Here is a 19,377-nt window from a genome sequence, read left to right on the forward strand (position 1 = left end):
CAGCAGAATTGGAATATAGGCCTGATGCTGGCTGGCTTTGCTCTCCCACTACCACCTCCCTGAAACTGTCACTGCCAGGGAAGAGCAAATGTCCTAGCAAGGACCTGCAGAGGCCCAGAGCTCAGAGTTAGGGCTGGACATGGAAGCTGTCTCCCTGAGGACCACGGTCCTCACAGAAGCCAGGCAAACCCGAGGTCCCAGATACAGTTAGAGGCTGAGAGCAGAGAGCAGGATCTGGAGCAGGGCCAGGAGAGAGCCAGTCGCTGTCTTGTAATAACTCATTCTGCCACTTTCCATTATCGCAAGGATAATACACATTCTTTGTAGAAATGTTGGAAACCATGGAAAATAGAAACAAGAAAACATTTCAACCAACCAGAGAAACACTGTTAATACTTTAGTATGCTATATCTTTTCAACCTCTTTGCTCTGGGAAAGTGCATTTTTTTTTAAAAGATGGGACAATATATGTTTTCCTTTACTAATATTGGGTAAACATTTTACCCACGTTGTTACAATTCTTTTTCAATAACATTTTTAATGTTTACAATATCATTTTAATGTTTGCATGGGTAAAATGAGGACACAAGACCCTAACTAGAATCTAACCCATTTGGGACCAAATTTTAGCCCTACCATTTCCTATCTTATGTGACAAAACTTCTCTTGTCTCTATGACTCCCAGCCCCCCACTCCACACACCCACAGGCATAACAACACAACCTCTTCCTAGGTATGCTGGGAAGATTGTATGAGAAAATGAACTGAAAGCATTAAGCACAATGTCATGTAAATGTTAACGATTATCATTACTGTAATTTATCTAACAAATTCCCCATTCTCAGACATTTGGGCTTTTCAGGTTTCCACAATTACAAATCAGATGCAAGGAACACCATTATAGATGGTGTTTCTCCGTAATCATGTCTCAATATAAAATTACTGTATCAAAGGGTAAACTTTGGAAGAATTTTATACATACAGTCAAACTATTCTTCAGAAGGTTTGTATTGATTTATAACTAATTTGATGGCCCCTTAAGGAAGCTGGTTATGAAATCAGGAACCGATGATGAACTATGAGTCCAGAGGCAAGGGGCAATCAGCCTTTGTAGATGACCCCAGAATGTGAGACCTGCTAAGAGGGCCTCCTGCCTGCTCTTCCCTTGTCCTTAGAGTTGGGTCTAGGGTCTACTAAGGGGACGAGCCTGAAAAAACGGGATGGGCCCTGGCTGGCATTGAATTAAGGGAGAGGTGGATAGCAGGTGCCAAAAGATATTGGAAAAGGACTCAGTGGATCTATAAAAACCAATCCCATGATTTGCTTACTTGGATTGTTTTAATGTATTACTAATTATCGGCAAGTATTTCTCAGACATTTTAATTTAGGTGCTATTTTTAAATCATAACTAACTCAAAACAGCATACATGTATAATTTTGTGTAATGTAGAATACATTGAATTTTTGTACTGTGACTATCCTTTATTCTGAGATTACATCCTTTACAATTTTTTTCTTAGTTTATGTTCTTTTAAGTTGAAATGATGGTGACACTTGGTGGTAGAGTATTTTAAAGTCCCCTAGTTGGCAAATAAAATTGCCCGCTTCCAATTTTAGGCTTAAATTTGATTAACCCCTGGAATCCATGTGTCTGGAAGCTAATGACCAGGTGACACATAATCCAGTCTTTAAACCTTCATTTGTCCAACATTCAGTGAGTAGCTACTGAGTCCAAGGCGAACAGACATCCTTTCCCTGACCCAAAGAGCTCATGCATGGTCTTTGGATCAAATATTAGTGCAACACCAGGAAGGGCATATTGGCTCTGAAGTGACAGGCTGGAAGGGTCAGAGAGGTATGAGAGCGTGGGATCACAGTCCATCACAGGGTCCTTTACTCTTCTTAATTCTTTTTTTTTTTTTTTGAGACAGAGTCCTGCTCTGTCACCCAGGCTGGAGTGCAGTGGCACGATCTCAGCTCACTGCAACCTCTGCCTCCTGGGTTCAAGTGTTTCTCCTGCCTCAGCCTCCCAAGTAGCTGGGACTACGGGAGCACACCAGCACACCCAGCTAATTTTTTGTACTTTTAGTAGAGATGGGGTTTCACCATGTTAGCCAGGATGGTCTCGATCTCCTGACCTCGTGATCCACCCACCTTAGCCTCCCACTCTTCTTAATTCTTACAAGAATTGTTTAACTCATTATTAAATATTGGAGCCTTTGGGGAAATAAAATTTACTACAACAAACACCTCCTCATAGGTGCAAAATACATATTTCTGGAATTAAAAGGAAAAAATAGAACTAAATCTGAGACAAGAGTAGAGGTAAAATATTCCAGACACCAAGTTTTGTAACTAAGTGGAAGAAGTCAGCCATATGCTTTAAAAATACATTTATTAGGCAATTGTTTGGTTGAGAACACTCAAAGGAAGGAATACCTATGTGTAGTTGCATACAACAGGTACATGAAAGCTATCGTAAACTCTTCATTGACATTCAGAAAAATCCCTAAAGAAAAAGAATTGCAAATCAAAACATCATCAGTAACATCTATGACAAATCAACCAAGTATGAAATTCTATGCAGATATGGAATACCTCATATATCAGTGAAACAGGGGACTAGGCTGTTTGGACATATATATACGAACAAGTGTTTTTCTTTTTCCTTCCTTTTTTTTTTTTTTTTTTTGAGACAGAGTCTTGCTCTGTCACCCAGGCTGGAGTGCAGTGGTGTGATCTTGGCTCACTGCAAGCTCCGCCTCCTGGGTTCAAGCGATTCTCCTGCCTCAGCCTCCTGAGTAGCTGGGATTAAAGCCACCCGCCACCATGCCCGGCTAATTTTTGTATTTTTTAGTAGAGACAAGTGTTTTCTAGTATACTAAACCTATAGTGGTAAAAGTGAAAAAGATAAATGTTTTTGTTGTTTGAGCAGAGAAATGTTTTGGACTTAAGATGTTAAACACACAAAAAATCTTTCAAACCATTCTTCTTCAAAGCTTTCTCTGTGGCTGGGGGCGAGAGGAATTCTGGAAAGAATAGTCGTACCCATTTTGGTGGAACTTCCTGAACGTTTACACGAGGCATGATTTTTGAGAGATTTATTGGCTTGCCAGCTTTGAGTGTAGTTGCTAGTTCCTTGAGCAAATGTATATCCTGTGTCATAGCATAAAATATTAATTGGAATTCCAGCAAATATCCAGATAGTTGGGAGGGGAATAGACATGGCAGCCTTTTTTGCTTAAGGATGGTGACAATTCTGTCAACAAAAAGCTAGCCTCTAGCATCCTGCAAGTTGGAGTTCAAAAGAGAAAATACAAAAACAAGCCTCATCCAAACTTTCCCCCTCACCTGCTTCAAACTCAGATTCTTGTCAAGACTAACATGATTGAATTCATTTAATGTGAATAAATAAGTGATGTTAGCTTAAAACAGCATCTATCACTAGCACATTCTTTTCTACTGATTTCGACCAGACGTTCATTCTCTAGATAAAAAATATTTATGTTGTGAATTCACTGAATTAACATCGGTCACTAATCACCCAGTTAAGTTACAATCGTATATATTCTGGCTGGTGTTGCAATTTAAATTGCCAAAAAAATAGGCTAATCATTAGCTAATGAACTATATTAGACATGGTTTGTCTGTTAATGACATTATCTTTATCCTTTAATGACATTATTTACAAGAGATTCAGTGTTTGTGAAAGCAGAAAGCTCTATTCACTCATTGTGACAAGAAATTTTGACACGTAAATATGTATGTCATGTTTTAAAGATATACATACTACTTTTTAAAAGACAGGAGAGTCTTTCAGGCACCAAACTTGCAAAAAATCTCACAGTTTTTTTTAACAGCATAATTCAAGTATATGAGTAAATAAAAAAATAGAAAAAAAAGTTAAAACTGCCAGTGTGGAACTAAAAATTATAAAATGCTTGTAATGATATGAGATTCTTAATAAAAGTATTGGCATGAAAAAGTGGAAATTCAAGTCAAATCGCATCACAACAACATGCACTGCAATAAAAAGTTTACTATAAAATGATTTTCAAGGTGTGGCCGGGCACTAGAGGTGTTTCTAAATCTCATTACAGTGAAACTTCTAATTTTGAGTAACTCATGGCAATGAATGTTTAAAGCAATCATTTAAAAGTTCTTACTTATACAACAGTTACTCCCTGTAATGAAAATGATCCAACACTTGATTATGTGCCACAGTGTAAGGTGTGGTGACAAACACCTCATTGCTCGATAACCAGGAAAATGGAAACACAGAGTAAAAAAAGATCACTTTACTTTCCCTACATTAATGAAGAATGTGTTGAGTGTAATTACTGCTAGCAGACACATTAACTGTGTCTACAGAATTGACCAGTTGTTGGAGGAACAGCCCATCTTGAATTTATTTTGAGCCAAATACACAGCAACACAATGGGATGAACAGCCAGCCCCTTGATCCAGTGTCAACCGGAGATGTTTATTTCACAATTTAAAGAAGTTATCAGTTGCCTGCTGCAACAAAACACACAAGTGATTGTGAGCTCCTTAAGGATAAAATCCTTGGCTTATTAATTGTTAGAGTTTAGAACATGTCAGGCACATACTAAATGCTTATGAAATGATGGACTTTTACAAACAATACTCCTCAGTTAAGTTCCTCTTTTCCCTGAGTCTTAAATGATTTAAGGAGTATGATAAAATAAAGAAGTTACAAACAATAAAAAGGCAATGGTATAAGAGGACAAATTAAAGATCTCTTCCTCTAAACATATTCTCTGAGTTTCCAGATTAATACCACTGAAGGACAATGGTGGTCCCTACTACATTAACTACTCCCTGGAGGTGAATTAGGCCAAGACTAGACATAAACCCAGAAGAGAGGAGGCTAAGCAATGAATTAGAAGTTGGGATTGTTTTCCCCCAAAGCAATCAGCTGTGTGATGGAGGTCAAGGTTTTCTTGTTTGTTTCCTCTCAAGTAGGATGTATCTGTAGACAAAAATTCTAAGGCTTCAGGAAGCTGAACTACCTCTTTTGGATTTATTGGGCCCTCTCCGGGACAATAATGTTTAATGCCCTAATTAGTATCCCATGAACTTAAATGGGTCAGTGTTTTTTTTTTTTTAATATTGATGCACTCTTAGGAATTAACTACATAATCAGCTTGCTAGTGTTCTGTATTTAGACCACATTGGTGGTGCAGTTTTAGTGTCAGAACGAATCTCAGAAATATTTTTCTAGAGAAATGATTCTAATTATGATTGTGTTTGGATGTTTCCAAACTAAATAATCAATCGATTATTTCATCATGATTATCTTTCTTTTTGATGAAGGAAAAAACAGTCATGGCAGGAATTTCCCTAAATGGTTCCATCCATTCCATAGTTGTGAACCAATAACTTCATGAAGGAACTGCTTATATGACTAAGTATTGCACAGGATTATGAAAAAGTTATTTTTGGGTTAATACCTTTAGTATGCAAAGAGTTGACTGTATAGGAAGCAATGTCAATATAAATGAAAATTATATACTTATAACCAAATGTATAATATTTAGTTGAAGATGTCTATTCATTCATAATTAGAATTAAGAGAGGGTCTGGAAGTCCAAGTAATCATATCTATCAGATAAGCAATGGGATATAAGCAGCAAAACTAATTTGGAGACAGGACACAGCATAGACATTTAAAAATAAATGGCTATAAGATTTTTGAAAGTTTTTAATATCAATAAGCAGTAGCATTTAGGGGATTCTCAGTTTTTCACATAAGCCTGCCTTCATCACTTGAAAAATTTCTATATTCATTAACTTTCTTGTAATCTTGCCAGAGCACGTTACAAATTGTTCCCTTATTCACAAATCGAAGCCTTATAATTGACTTCAAAATTTTTGTTAAGCCATATGAGGCAGTTTGTGATTACCCATAATTGTTTTAAAAAGTTTCATTTCCTGAATATTAACACATGCAACTCAACTTAATTTAAAAATGTATGTTACACATTTCATATTCATTCTCTTCTGAGCATACAGAACAGGACATTTAGGTGTGATTTTTAGTATTCATCACTCTAAAATTCTGCTGTGTGAACATCACTATAAAAACATTTTAGGGAAACAGTATTTATTTTTAAACATTTCATATAAGGTGAATGATAAGTTTTGTATATACTCTAGAGCTGTACTGTTCTGAGTGGTAACCTCGAGCTACTGGATACTTGAAATGTGACTAGTGCAACTGAAGAACTGAATTTTTAACTTTAATTAATTTTAAGTTTAAAGGTTTACCGTTGTTTCAGTTACTGGAAAACTTTTAAGTGTGCTTAGACAACTTAGATTGTTGAATCTACTTTTTATCTGTAAATTTTATGAAATCTAAATACATCAAATATTACCAATGAAAACTTAGTGTCCAAATTGAGGGTTTCTGTAAGTGTAAAAAGCATGCCAGATTTCAAAGACTTAGTGTGAAAAAAAAGAATGTAAATTCCTTTTTAATAATTTTTGTACTGATTGCTCACGTGCCTCATGTTATATTTCTCTTGGATAGCACTGCTCTAGAGCTTTATGAAAATAGCTAGTTTTTAAAAGTTACATTTTAAATTTTGTATTGTAATGTCATTCTTTTAACCAAATAATTTTGATCATTATGAAAAAGCAAAGCAAATTTGTATTTACCTACCAAGAAGTGCCCTAATTGCTCACTCTGCTCTTCCTCCTTTCTCTGAATTGCAAAGCCCTCACCAGCACCCGCAGCAGAATGCAAAATCATAGACAGTGAATATGCAGAAATAGTGTATGAGAGCACTGATAATTGTGCGATCAAATCAAACTGCTCACACCCTACAAATGATATCTTTTTTCCCTCCCAGATGTTTCTGGATCTATGTGTTCCTAATTCCAAAATTAACCTTCAGCTTCCTCCCAAGTTCTGCTGTGCTATGTCTTCCGGTTTAGAGTAATAAGCGGTGACTGTACTCGCAATGTGCTAGGTCATGTATTAATACTAGATTCTGTCCAGGCCCGAGAACTTTCATCTTTCAGAGTGGAGAGCTTTCTCTGGGAGAAGGGTTCGAATCCCAGAAGTCTGAACACTGCCACCCGGTACTTCTTGGACATGATGTTGTACAGAATGGGGTTGATGGCAGCACTGAGGTAGAAGAGGACAAAGGACACGAGGTTGCAGTACTGGCTGATCTGAGCAATCTCCAAGGAGCCAGGCTCAAAGGATTTGGAAAATAAATATCGCCCTACGTGGAAGGGGAGCCAGCAGAGGATGAAGGCAAACACCACTACAGCTAAAAGGACAATGGGAGAGAGATAGTCAGCTCAAGAAATGTCACAGCAAATCACATTCTATTTTTAAGACTTTGTTTTTGTTTCATGGTCTATGACCATTGACTTCAGAGAAACATTGTGTCCTGCTCTTCCTGTTCCAACATTTTAACAAAGATTCAGTCTGTCTGGACCAACAGTTCAACAATTTTTACTGAGCTCCCCAGTCATTTCTATTTAACAACTATCTGAGTGATTTTGTACTGAGTTGACACATTGACTCAACTGACTAGACCATTTATTCACAATAGTCCAGCAGTTTTTATGTGTTAGACACAACAGACACACTTACGAGGTAAAGTGGTTGTACTCAACCATAGCTGTGTATCCGAGTCTCCTGGGGCACTTTTTAAAACAATGCAGATTCCTTGGATGTAGTATAGACTCAGTCAATTTAAATCTCTAAGAGGGCGATCAGGACATATGTTTTATCTTCTCTTTTTTTTTTTTAAGTTTCACAGAGGATTGAATATACAGTTAGGATTAAGAATCACTGAGATGAATGATTCTATGCCACTTACAATAGACATAAGTAAGGCTATTATTAAACCAACTCATATAAATTATCATCCATCCAAGTCTTCATTTTGCCTATGTAAGATAATTTTTAATGATGTCTAAATGTTTAGATTGTTTTAAATTCAGAAATCAGGGAAAAATAATAACAAATAATTTTTTAGTCGTTGTAACACTTTAGTGATCCCCTTCAAATTGTCAAGGAAGAAGAAAGTTAACATTGGTGTTGAGACACCAATGAAGAAATTAATGGCTTGAAAATAAAATTGGAGGAAATTATTAAACTTATCCTTAAAACTAAGTTGTATAGTAGCAACTTAACTGCCACAGTAACAATGTGACTCTCGTAGGTGAGAGCTTAGGATCCCTTGGAGGACACTAGCAGGTTTATAACCTATGAGTCATATCACGAGAATCACCGGTCCAGAAAATAAAATCTTTGACATTCCTTGAATAAACTCTATCACTTTAATATGGAGGATCCAGGAACTGTAAAATTGGAAATATGAAATCATCCTGGAATGGCTTCTAAGAAGCCTTAAAATATGCCATTAAGTATGAAGTCTTGACTATAATATCTAAATAATAAAATATACAGACCTTGGTTTTGAAAATGCAAGTAGAGTTAATATTTTGCTGGGCTGTAACCATATTTATTATTACTTCACTTGTACCAAACACATATACTTAAAGAAGCTGAATTTGTGCAATAAACATTCAGCAAATCCAGTTATGACATTGTGCCCAGATGTTCCTGAAGGGTCATTTGGGGAAGTAGTGAATTCTGTTGGTTTCCACAAAGTCTCCTTTCCTCCTGTTGGAGCTTTGTTTAATCTAGTTTATCCTTACCTTATCCTAGTCTATCCTACCTGAAGAGGCAGGTAATCATAAAAACAAATGAGACTTCACTGATTTGTCACTGACTTCCTTACAAAGCTGTATGAACAGCAGCAGGGTAAACAGAATTGATGCAATTATCTGAAAAAATGCAGGGCAGAAAACAAATCACAATATTGAAAGAAAAATGAATAATCTCTAAGAGGATTATCCAAATTGATCATGTCTTTGGTTGAATTTACCGCTGAACGCTTTCTAGATCCAAACCCTGCTTTTCTTAATGTAACTTAGATATTCACAAATCCTACTTGAGGCAGGAAGTCAGTCCTCACTTTTAACGCTTAAAGACCACAATGGACTTTTATAAGATATCTCGATTTTTAAAGTGGAGTTTCTGGGCTGATATAAAATTTATTTTAGGGAAATACAAATATGGGACATTTTTGCATGAAAGAGAGAAAGGAGAGACAGGAAGAAAGAGACACAAAGAGATAGAGACGGTAAGAAAGACACTGACAAAGTAAAGGGGGAGGAGAGAGAGAGACAGAGACAGAGAGAAAGATTGAGAGATCAAAAACATCACTCAAGAAAGCAAGAGGAGAGAATAATTGAGAGAAACGCAGAGAGACAGAGGCCCAGAGAAACTGAAGAAAGAGGTAGCGACTCAGGGGGAAATAGAGATGGAGACTCAGAGAGAAGGGAGAAGGCACAGGGAGAGGATAGGACCCGCGAGAGAAAGCCTGAGCGCGCGCTGAGACCCACCCAGCATTTTCACGGTTTGCTTGTGGTTCTGGTCCCTGAGCGAGGCACCCACGACAGCATCGCCGCGCCTCCTCCGCCACAGCTTCCTGCCGATGAGACTGTAGAGGACCGTGAGACAGAAGACAGGAAGGAAGAAGAAGATGCTGGACACCCACACCATGACCGTGAGCAGTCCAGAGCGCACCGCAAACTCGGTGGGGCGGCACTCGTTGGTGTCCCAAGGGTCGGTGCCGTTCTCGTGCTCCACCCCGACTAGCACGAAGATGGGCCCGGCGCTGCAGAAGGCCACGGCCCAGATGACGAAGATGACCAGCTTCACCCGCCCCTTGGTGACCACCACCTTGGCCCGGAGTGGGAAGCAGATGGCGAAGTAGCGCTCGACGCTCAGCGCTGTGATGGTGAGCACCGTGGCGTAGGTGCAGCTCTCACTGACGAATTGGAAGAGTTTGCAGAGGAGGTCGCCGAAGTTCCAGGGCCGGTACTGCCAGAGGCGAACGAGGTCCAGGGGCATGCAGAGGAAGATGAGCAGATCGGAGAAGGCCATGCTGGACAGGTAGAGGTTGGTGGTGGTGCGCAGCTCGCGGAAGCGCGACACCACCAGCATGGTGAGCAGGTTGCCAGCGATGCCCACCACGAAGAGTGCCACGCAGGTGGCTGTGACGCCCGCCAGCAGCGGCGCGGGGAAGAGCTGCAGCAGCTCGTCGCCCAGCGAGTCGTTGCCGGGGGAAGCATCCCAGTCCAGGTCGGCCAGTGTGAGGTTGAACCCCGGCTCTTCGCTGGGCGTCGCGTTCCACATGCTGCCGGCTCAGCTGAACAGGCTCTGGGACGTGACTGCGCTGGGAGGCTGGACCGAGCTGGCTCCCGAGGAGGTCCGCTTAGGCGCGGGAGGGTGCGAGGGAGGAGCGGGTGCAGACGCGTAGGGAGGATGCTTGGAGAAGAAAGAGAGGGAGGTGAGAGGCAGAAGCCGAGGAAGAAGGTGAGATGGGGACAAGGAAGAGGGAGAGAGACTGGTGGTCAGTGGGTGAGAGAGTGACCCACTGCTTTCTCTGACACCTCCCCTTTCCCCCACCAACTCCCCCAAAGTTTCTCCCAACACATCCTCCGGCCGGCGCCCACACGCATACCTGTCACCAGCCCTGCCTCGCATTTGCGTTCTCGATCCAGTTCCATCTCGCACTTCCCAAAGCGTCGCAGCGAGTGGGGACCGCAGGGACCAGGCGCCGCGAAGCGGGAGCGTGAGGCGCTCTCTCCGAAGCCCTGGGCGACGCTGGACTAGTGTGCCCCGGAAGGACAGGTCACACCCGGGGGTGGGGGTGAAGACGACGGTGGCGGTGGGGAGGACACCTTTAGCAGCTGGGACCTGATTTCTTCCTCCACAAGGCTGCAGCTGGCTATGGCCCTGGTGGAAAGAAAAAGCGAGCTTGACCAACTCGACTTGGGAAGGGGGATAGAGAGAGAAAAGAAGGACCTTGTGTTTGTATTCATACCGGTGAGCACCAAAGAATAGTCTCACGCAGTTATAGGACCCAGGTTCAGCGATGTGACTACTTGTCCAAGGTCACACAGCGAGCTGGGGACTCGGGGACCAGTGTCGGATCTCCCACCCGGTTGGGACTTCTGAGCGCACAGGGGCAAGATATGTGAGTAAACCCTGTCCAGAATCCCAGTCCTTTGTATCACTCGGTAGTGGTAGAGAGTCTGCTGTAGGGTATATTACTTTTGCTTGATGCAAACCTGGTGGCGGGGTGCCGAGGTTGGTCAGGGAGGGAACAGGAGAAAGGAAAAAGGCAGGGTTGGAGGTGTGTGGAGGCGGCAAGTGAAGAAGAGGCTGTGAGGCTGGCGCGTCGAGAGTGTGCAGGAAACATTTTTTGAGGCATAACTGAGAGAGATCAGCCATTTAGTAGCCGTATTCCCTTGGGCAAGGTCTTCAACCTCCTGAGCATTACGTCTTTTTCTTTGAATTGCAATGATTTGTGCGGACCACTGGGGGTGATATCAAGTGTCAGGGACCACCGGAGGCACTCAATAAATAGAAGACGCGTTGCTGTTGAGAAGTAGAAGCTGTGCCGGTGGGAACAGGTCAAAGGCCACCCCTACACTAGCAAGGTGACCCTCTGGACGCGGTCTGTGCGTCTCCTGCTCAGAGCCAGAAATCAGCACCCGAAGGCATGAGACTGCCAGTTGCCAGCGAATTCACAAATCCGACCGGCCCCTCCCGGCCCACCGACCTCGGGACCGCCCCAGGAACATATTCAGCACTGTGGCCAGCGCCACATCCATCCTACCGCAAAGCGCCGCTGGAGGAATGGCTTCCCTGTCACTCCCACCGTTTTTAACTTGCGCTTCTAACGCCTCAGTCCTACCCCACGGAGGAGCAGGGCAGACTCCCACGAAGCACAGGCCGGCGTTAGTCACTGCCTTGACCATACACATCGGCGCTCACCCGATGAGATACCACGTACTGTGTATGAGAGAGTATCCCCCTCAGTTGAATGCGTTTGTACTTGCCTTTCACAGACAGTTTGTACCACCTCTACTACCTAAATTGTTAATACTTAAAAGTCCACAAAGACCTAAGACTGAATGTGTGCACAAATGCGTGAAAGACTCCATGCAGTAAATTACTACATGAGAGAAGTTTGATACAGGAAATTTAACATAGTGGTTTGGTTGCCGCTGGTGTGTTAGACATTGGACCAAACTGAGTTTTGTTTCGTTTTGCTTTGTTTTGTTTTGTTTTGCTGGTTTTGTTTTGTTTTGTTTTGAGACGGAGTCTCCCTCTGTCGCCCAGGCTGGAGTGCAGTGGCGCGATCTCTGCTCACTGCAACCTCCGCCTCCCAGTATTGGATCTCCCACCCGTTTGGACTTCTGAGCGCATAAGTCCAGGTTCAAGCAACTCTTCTGCCTCAGTCTCTCTAGTAGCTGGGACTACAGGCGTGTGCCACCACGCCTGGATAATTTTTTTTTGTATTTTTAGAAGAGACAGGGTTTCACCATACTGGCCAGTCTTGTCTCGAACTCCTGACCTCGTGATCTGCCCGCCTCGGTCTCCCAAAGTGCTGGGATTACAGCCGTGAGCCACTGTGCCCGGCCCCAAATTGAGTTTTTAAAACATTAATTTCAGACTACTATTTTTTAAGTATTACAACTAAGTCAAACTACCAATTACAAACAAGTTTTTATTTAATCAATAACTTTGTTACTCCCTGACCTATATTATCAGTAGGTTGATGTATGTGGAAAGAAAGGGAGAGAAAGTGGACTGGGATAAATCAGAATACTATGGGAAGTTATTGCCTAAGACTGAGAATCAGGAAAATATTGTTGGATATATTTCTAGTCTACTCAGTGCTAAAGCTATGGCTGATAGTTGAAAAAACTGAAAACAAAAACCACCAAAACTATTGTGATAAAAAAAATTTTCATGTTAGCTAAAATAGCCAGCCATTTAATGGCACTCAACCAGTTTCTAAAATATAGACAAATCTATATTGCATGACCAAGAAGAAACAGAGGGTGCTATTGTAGTTGCTCTATTTATTCACAACATGTGAAATATTATGTAATACCGTATATAAAACTATCTCTAGTAAGTGGTAGGTACTAGGATAACAAAATAAATAAAACCCAGACAGATCCTATATTTATAAACTTATAGTCTAGAGAGAAAAATACAGTTAAATAAGTAATGCTAGTACAGTATTGATAGGTGCATTTAAAGAGGCATGTACAATGAGCCCTGTTGGAATTCAGAGAATGAATGAACCACGTGGAGGCTTTAGGGAAGGCCTCTCAGAGGAAGCAGCATCTGAGCTGGATCTTGGAAAAGTTCAGTTCCATCAGAAAAAGGAAAACTTGCTCAACCATTCAGACAACGGACACAAAAGCATTTTGGAGTGACATTCAGTATGCCTTGTTCTATGAATGGTGTAAAGAGTATTATTATTGACTTGTGGATTTTTATATAGTAAGTGCATACCAATCAGTTACGGCGATTGTTTTCTTTTAGACACTCAAATTGTCCCATCTTTGGCCAATGAGATCCACTTCAAGTTGGTTCCAGGGTCCTTTTGACATAACTCACTTAGATTTTTAGAGCTTACATGCTGTGTTTTGTGGCACAATGAGATGCCTCAAGCTCACCTTGTAAATTCTCCACACTATACCTAGGAGCAACCATTATTTCAAGAATCCCTGGTATCCGCAGTGGGAAACAGCATTTAGAGACCAACATTTGGGCAGTGGGGTTGGTTATTATCCCTGGAGCATTATGGTCTAGGTTCTGCAGACAAAGGTAGGATATATACATATGTATACACATTATATGTATATTCTATACATATAAATAAAGTTACATAGTTTCCATTATGAAGATGTACCTTAGTTTCATTTAACCAGTTTATTGATAAATATTTGTGAGTTTTTAATAATCTTTTATTGCTATAATATATATATTGCTATATATTCTATACATATATATGGTGTGTATATATATAGGCTATGTACTATATACATATATATACACATATATAGATGAGTGTGTGTATAATCATTATCATCTCACAATATCTAGATATCTATAAATCATGAGATGATAATTATGATACTGTAGATAAATCAGACAGACCCTGAGCAGATGAACAAAACTAACATCACCACTATGATACCCTGGGAAGGACACAATGTCACTTATATGCATTCCAGCTAGAAACGAAGAACCTCAATCTAATCACAAGGAAACATCAGACAAACTCAAAATGAGGAATCATTTATTTAAAAAATTATTCCAAAAATTTCAATGTTACATAAGACAAAGGAAGACTGAGAAAATGTTCCAGAACAAATGACACCAAAGAGACATAACAACTAAATGTAATTTCTAATTTTAATTTCTGATCAATGTTCGGTTTATTGAAGTTGACAGCTACATGGAAGAGGATGTTCTTATTCTTAGAGATGCACACTCAACTGTGATTTATGCAGCTTACTCTCAATTGTTTCAAAAAAATCATGTGTGTGTGTGTGTGTGTGTGTGTGTGTGTGTGTGTAGATAGAGCAAATGAGGAAGCAAATGGGGCAAAATGTTAATAACAGGTAAATCTTACGAAACGGTAAAATGATTTTCTTTGCACTATAATTGCACATTTTCTATAAGTTTAAAATTACTTTCAAATTAAAGTTCAAAACTCATACATTTGTATAGATATTTCTGATTCAATTTCCAATTATTAACTTCTTTGAGTTGATATTTATACTGAACATCTTGTTTCTAACAACATAAACATAATTATCTTATACATAAAATGATTTCAGACTAATAACGTCAGCATTACCACTAATAATAAAATTGACAAATGAAGTTTGAGATGTTTTTGCAGTTCTCTTTTGTCCTTACAGTATATCCCACTAAGTTTGTACAATTGCTGTATTTTCAAATTACTTGAAACAATGTTTTTCTATGTGTGGTTATTTACCAATTTGATACATGGTTCATTTGTTTCCATTACTTTCAATTTTTAAATTTTCTATTTATTTTTAAATTTTAAATTTGCTTTAAAATTTTAGTTTTTAATATATAAAACATTTTCTTGATCTAACAATTAAAATGTTAAAGTATGGTTCTAAATTTAAAACTTTAAACAAAAGTATACCCAGGAAAATGTTATTTTCTTTTCCTACTTTTCAAAAGATAACATTTAAAAATTTTAGCTTCTAATTTATCTGTCGTGTGTGTTTCTTTTTCTAAGTTTATGTGTGTGTGTGTGTGTGTGTGTGTGTGTGACCTACTAAAAGGTAGTATACCATACATTCATACCAGACTGTCTTCTGTGTTGCCTTTTCAATTTAATATTATATCCTGGGATTCTCTCATAGCAATTTTTTAATGTTTTCTTTCAATAATCCACCTAGAGAAAGTTACACAGTTTCCATTTATGAAGATGTACCTTAGTTTCATATAACCAATGTTTATTGATGAATATTTGTGTTTTTAATAATCTTTTATTGCTATAAATGATAATGTATATATCATTTTATATGTGTACAGCTGTATTACAAAATAATATAAAATAATTTAATAAAAGAAGAGATGATACATGGCGGTATACAAATCATTGAATGGCACAATACAGCATGGAGACACAGTGTATAGTGCCTGATCGTCAAGTCTGGGCTGTGAAAACATATATAGAGAAATTTGGTATGAAGTAACAGATACAACATTACATTATATTCTTATAAGTGGGATTGTTGAATCAAAGGGTCAAAGTACCTGTAATTTTGTTATATATTGCTACATTCCTCTCCATGGGATTGTATCACCTTTTATCTTCACTAGCAATGGATGAGAGTGCCTGATTTCTCCCAGCCTCTACCATAGTGTTGTCAACTTTTGAATTTTTGCCAATTTAATTGTTAGGTGAGAAATGGTTTCTCATTGTGTTTTTCCTTTGCATTCCTTTATTTTGAGTGAGATGAGCATATTTTCATATGTTTAAGGGCCATTTGCTTTTCTTTTCACGTGAACTGCTGGACTATGACTTTTGCCCATTTTTCTATTGGGTTGTTTTTCTGCTTTTAAAAATTGATTTCTAGGAGCTCTTTCTGTGTTGGAGAGATAGTCCTTTGGAAGAACATAAATAGAAAATATTTTTTCCCAGCTGTTCATTTGTCTTTTCAATTTTACTTATGGGTATTTTTCTTTATTTGACACACACAAGTTTTAAATTTCTGTGTCATCAAATTAGTCAGTCTTTGTTGTTATTGTTTCTGGATTTTGAGTCATATTTATGCAGGCTTTACTCACTGCTAAGTTATAAAGGAATCTGTGTTTTGTTCTATTATTTTTTGGCTTTAGTTTTTAACACTTATATTTCTGAATCCATTTGCAATTTATCTTGGAACATGAAATGATATATGGATCCAATTTTATCCTTTTCCAAATGGTTACTCAGTTGTTTCAGCATCATTTATTAAAAAGTTTGCCTTTTCCTTAATAATTTAAGGTGACTCTTGTCTTGTATTAAATTTCTATATGTATTTTCAGAGCCCAGTCTCAACACTCAGGCACTATATACTGCCTATCCATGCTGGATTTGTACCACTCAATGAATTGTACACTGCCATGTGCCATGTACTCTTTAATTATTAAAATTTCACTTTTTGATACCATATTTCATGTATTAATCAGGATAAAGATTGGATACATACATCAGGAAACCTAAAAAAGAGACTGAAAAAACATAAAATCTTATGGATTCATTTTGCTTCTAAGGGAAATCGGAATATAGACTGCCCAGGACTCGTATCAGGAACTCATGCTCCTTTTGCCTCTCTGCTCCACCATCCTTTGTGAGTGGCTTCCAATATCAAGGTTGCTTCCTGGCTCAAGATTGGTGCTGGAGCTCCCAGTCATCTAAATGAGTTCCAGGCAAGAAGAAACAGAGAGGCAGGGATAAAGAGCTTTCTTAAAATTCTGACTCAAAACTCTCACGTTACATTGGCCAACTCCATTTTCAAGAGAGGCTGGAAAATACACATTTATAGCAGGGCACGTTATCACTCCCAGGGTTCTAGATTTGAATAAACAATTTACAGTTTCTGCCATGTTTCCCAATGTGACTGTAAGTAATTTGAAAGCAAAGACATATTTTTCTTTAGATGACCTAGTACAATGTCTTGTAGGTAGTAGAGCACCTAAAACAAACATTTCCTGTGTTGATTAAATTTATATTTCATTTTAATAAAAATATAGAACATATAAGAAGGCTTATAAGGAAATTTAAACACTATATTGTACTTTTCATAAAATATATCATTTATTTTAATGTTCTATTCAAGCTTTGAACACAATGTACTAATATATCTGGCTTCATCACTTATACTCTCTCTACCACATCATGTAGCCTCATTTAAATAATGTCATGTACATATTTCAAAGCAAGAAGTACACATTGCTCTTTCCAGACCAGCAAGCTGTAAGAATGTATATTTAATATCAAGTATATCAACAGAGGAGTAGAAATATATATCTAAAATAATCTTCGCATTCAAGTACCTTAAAAATCATCAGCAGCATTATTTTTTAAGAGATAGGATCCTGCTCTCTAGCCCAGACTGGCATGCAGTGCCACAATCACAGCTCACTGCATTCTCGAACTCCTGGGCTCAAGGGATCCTCCCACCTCAGCTTCTTAAGTAGCTAGGACTGCAGGTGCACACCACCAGGCTTGGCTAATTTTTTTTATTTTTTGTAAAGATGGAGTCTTGCCATCTTGCCCAGACTGGTCGGAAACTCCTGAGCTCAAGCGATCCCCCTGCCTTGGCCTCCCAAAGTGGTGAGATTACAGGTGTGAGCCACCACATCCGGTAAAAATCATTTTCTAATTAGCAAATGAGACCTATTATCATAAGTAATCACTATGAAAATTAAAATAATTTTACAATTTAGAGATTCATTTTAAAATCTTTGTGATTTTCTGACTATAGAAGTAACATGTTTCTTAAAAACTCAAACATGTTAGAAAGTCTCCTATACCCATCTCTTTTTGAATTTTCCCCATAGATATTTCAGTGGGACTTTCCATATTTTTACTGATACTCATACCACTAGTTTTGCATCTGATATTAAGCATTACTACTTTTACCTAGTCCTTTAAAGCCTAGTTAATACCAGAATTTATCTATTAATAGTTATCAAAGTTACATATAGGTTTATAATTTCAAATACTTATACAGGGCTTATTAAACCATATTGGCACTGATTTATGCATTATGCATTATTATGTATTGGTATACTGTTATGAAAGAAGCTTATTTATTTCTTTTATACTCTCAACTCATGAATCACCCATATATGGGTACACGCACACACATACACACACACACACACACACACACACACCCTCCCCTCTTTCATCTTCCAAATGTAATCATACTATAATTTTGGGATTAGATTTATCCTCAATATTCACATTTTATGCTGATGTAGATATTACTAAATCTGAACCACATAGTACACTGTGATAATATTCTCCTTTCTTGAAACACCTTTTGTTTTCCTTGGTGTTATAACCACCTTATTGGATGATTTGCCTAGTTTCTGAATAACTACTACTAATCTTCCTCTCAACATTTTTTAACTCAACAGGTTATTTTACGCATTTCGACCTGTTTCTTTGGGACAGTGCTTCTGGATACCTACACTCCGCTACTCCAATCTGAACTAGTACTCTCTGGGCTTGTTACACAGGTTATTGTCCTGATTGTTCACCATCCTCTTGGGTACCTCCTTTGCCTGGCCAGGTACTGTGTCTTCCTCTTTTTCGGTTCACTTTCTGTTAAGAAGGTGCACATTCTCCAATAACTTGTTGAAAAAAGGTACATGGAAGATACATTTTTGAGGAACTTTTATATTATGAGTATTTTTATTGTACCATAACAATTTATTGGGAGTTTAGTTATCCTCTTAGTCTGTACCACAGTAACAGAATATCATAGGCCAGGTGGCTTATAAGCAACAGAAATTTATTTCTCACAGTTCTAGAGGCTGGGAAATCCAAAATCAAGGCAGATTTTGTGTCCAGTGATGACATCCTTTCTGATTTCCTAGATAGCCATCTTCTCACTGCATCCTCACATGGCAGAAGGGGTGAGGAAGCTTTCTGGGACCTCTTTTATATGGTTACTATCCCATTCATGAAGACTCCATTGCCATGACCTACTCACCCACCAAAGGCCCCACCACCACACCACCTAATACCCTTACATTTAACATTAGGATTTCGGCCGGGCATGATGGCTCACGCCTGTAATCCCAGCACTTTGGGAGGCTGAGGTGGGCAGATCACAAGGTCAGGAGATCGAGACCATCCTGGCTAACACGGTGAAACCCCATCTCTACTAAAAATACAAAAATTAGCCAGG

At 38.9% G+C, this 19,377-nt stretch overlaps 1 protein-coding gene across 2 annotated transcripts, besides 3 other annotated features; it reads right to left on the reverse strand.

The window, feature by feature from the left end:
* Nucleotides 5,127-10,292, reverse strand: GHSR (growth hormone secretagogue receptor). Of its 2 annotated transcripts, NM_198407.2 has the most exons (2): nucleotides 9,454-10,292; nucleotides 5,127-7,301 (listed from the first exon to the last, which is right to left on the reverse strand). In NM_198407.2, exons 1-2 carry the CDS (start codon nucleotides 10,247-10,249, stop codon nucleotides 6,997-6,999), a joined length of 1,101 nt encoding a protein of 366 aa, NP_940799.1. In that variant the 5' UTR covers nucleotides 10,250-10,292; the 3' UTR covers nucleotides 5,127-6,996. The 2 variants fall into 2 exon arrangements, with proteins under 2 accessions (NP_940799.1, NP_004113.1); NM_004122.2 differs by lacking the exon at nucleotides 5,127-7,301 and having other exon boundaries at nucleotides 9,379-10,292.
* Nucleotides 9,451-10,218: an enhancer, noted in NCBI's record as "H3K27ac-H3K4me1 hESC enhancer chr3:172165405-172166172 (GRCh37/hg19 assembly coordinates)". NCBI's record gives its function as "activates a minimal SCP1, AML or CMV promoter by ChIP-STARR-seq in primed H9 embryonic stem cells {active_cell/tissue: H9 hESC(primed)}" and the evidence as "EXISTENCE:reporter gene assay evidence [ECO:0000049][PMID:30033119]".
* Nucleotides 11,170-11,670: an enhancer, noted in NCBI's record as "H3K4me1 hESC enhancer chr3:172167124-172167624 (GRCh37/hg19 assembly coordinates)". NCBI's record gives its function as "activates a minimal SCP1, AML or CMV promoter by ChIP-STARR-seq in naive H9 embryonic stem cells {active_cell/tissue: H9 hESC(naive)}" and the evidence as "EXISTENCE:reporter gene assay evidence [ECO:0000049][PMID:30033119]".
* Nucleotides 11,671-12,171: an enhancer, noted in NCBI's record as "H3K4me1 hESC enhancer chr3:172167625-172168125 (GRCh37/hg19 assembly coordinates)". NCBI's record gives its function as "activates a minimal SCP1, AML or CMV promoter by ChIP-STARR-seq in naive H9 embryonic stem cells {active_cell/tissue: H9 hESC(naive)}" and the evidence as "EXISTENCE:reporter gene assay evidence [ECO:0000049][PMID:30033119]".

Source organism: Homo sapiens, chromosome 3, assembly GCF_000001405.40.
Source record: "Homo sapiens chromosome 3, GRCh38.p14 Primary Assembly".
Classification (NCBI taxonomy): Eukaryota; Metazoa; Chordata; class Mammalia; order Primates; family Hominidae; genus Homo; species Homo sapiens.

Excerpts from the sequence above, each read along its gene's own strand:
- GHSR (NM_198407.2), bottom strand. The coding sequence starts at position 10,249 with ATGTGGAACGCGACGCCCAGCGAAGAGCCGGGGTTCAACCTCACACTG. Across the intron at positions 7,302-9,453 it reads GCAAACCGTGAAAATGCTGG|CTGTAGTGGTGTTTGCCTTC; the intron begins GTGGGTCTCAGC and ends TTGTCCTTTTAG.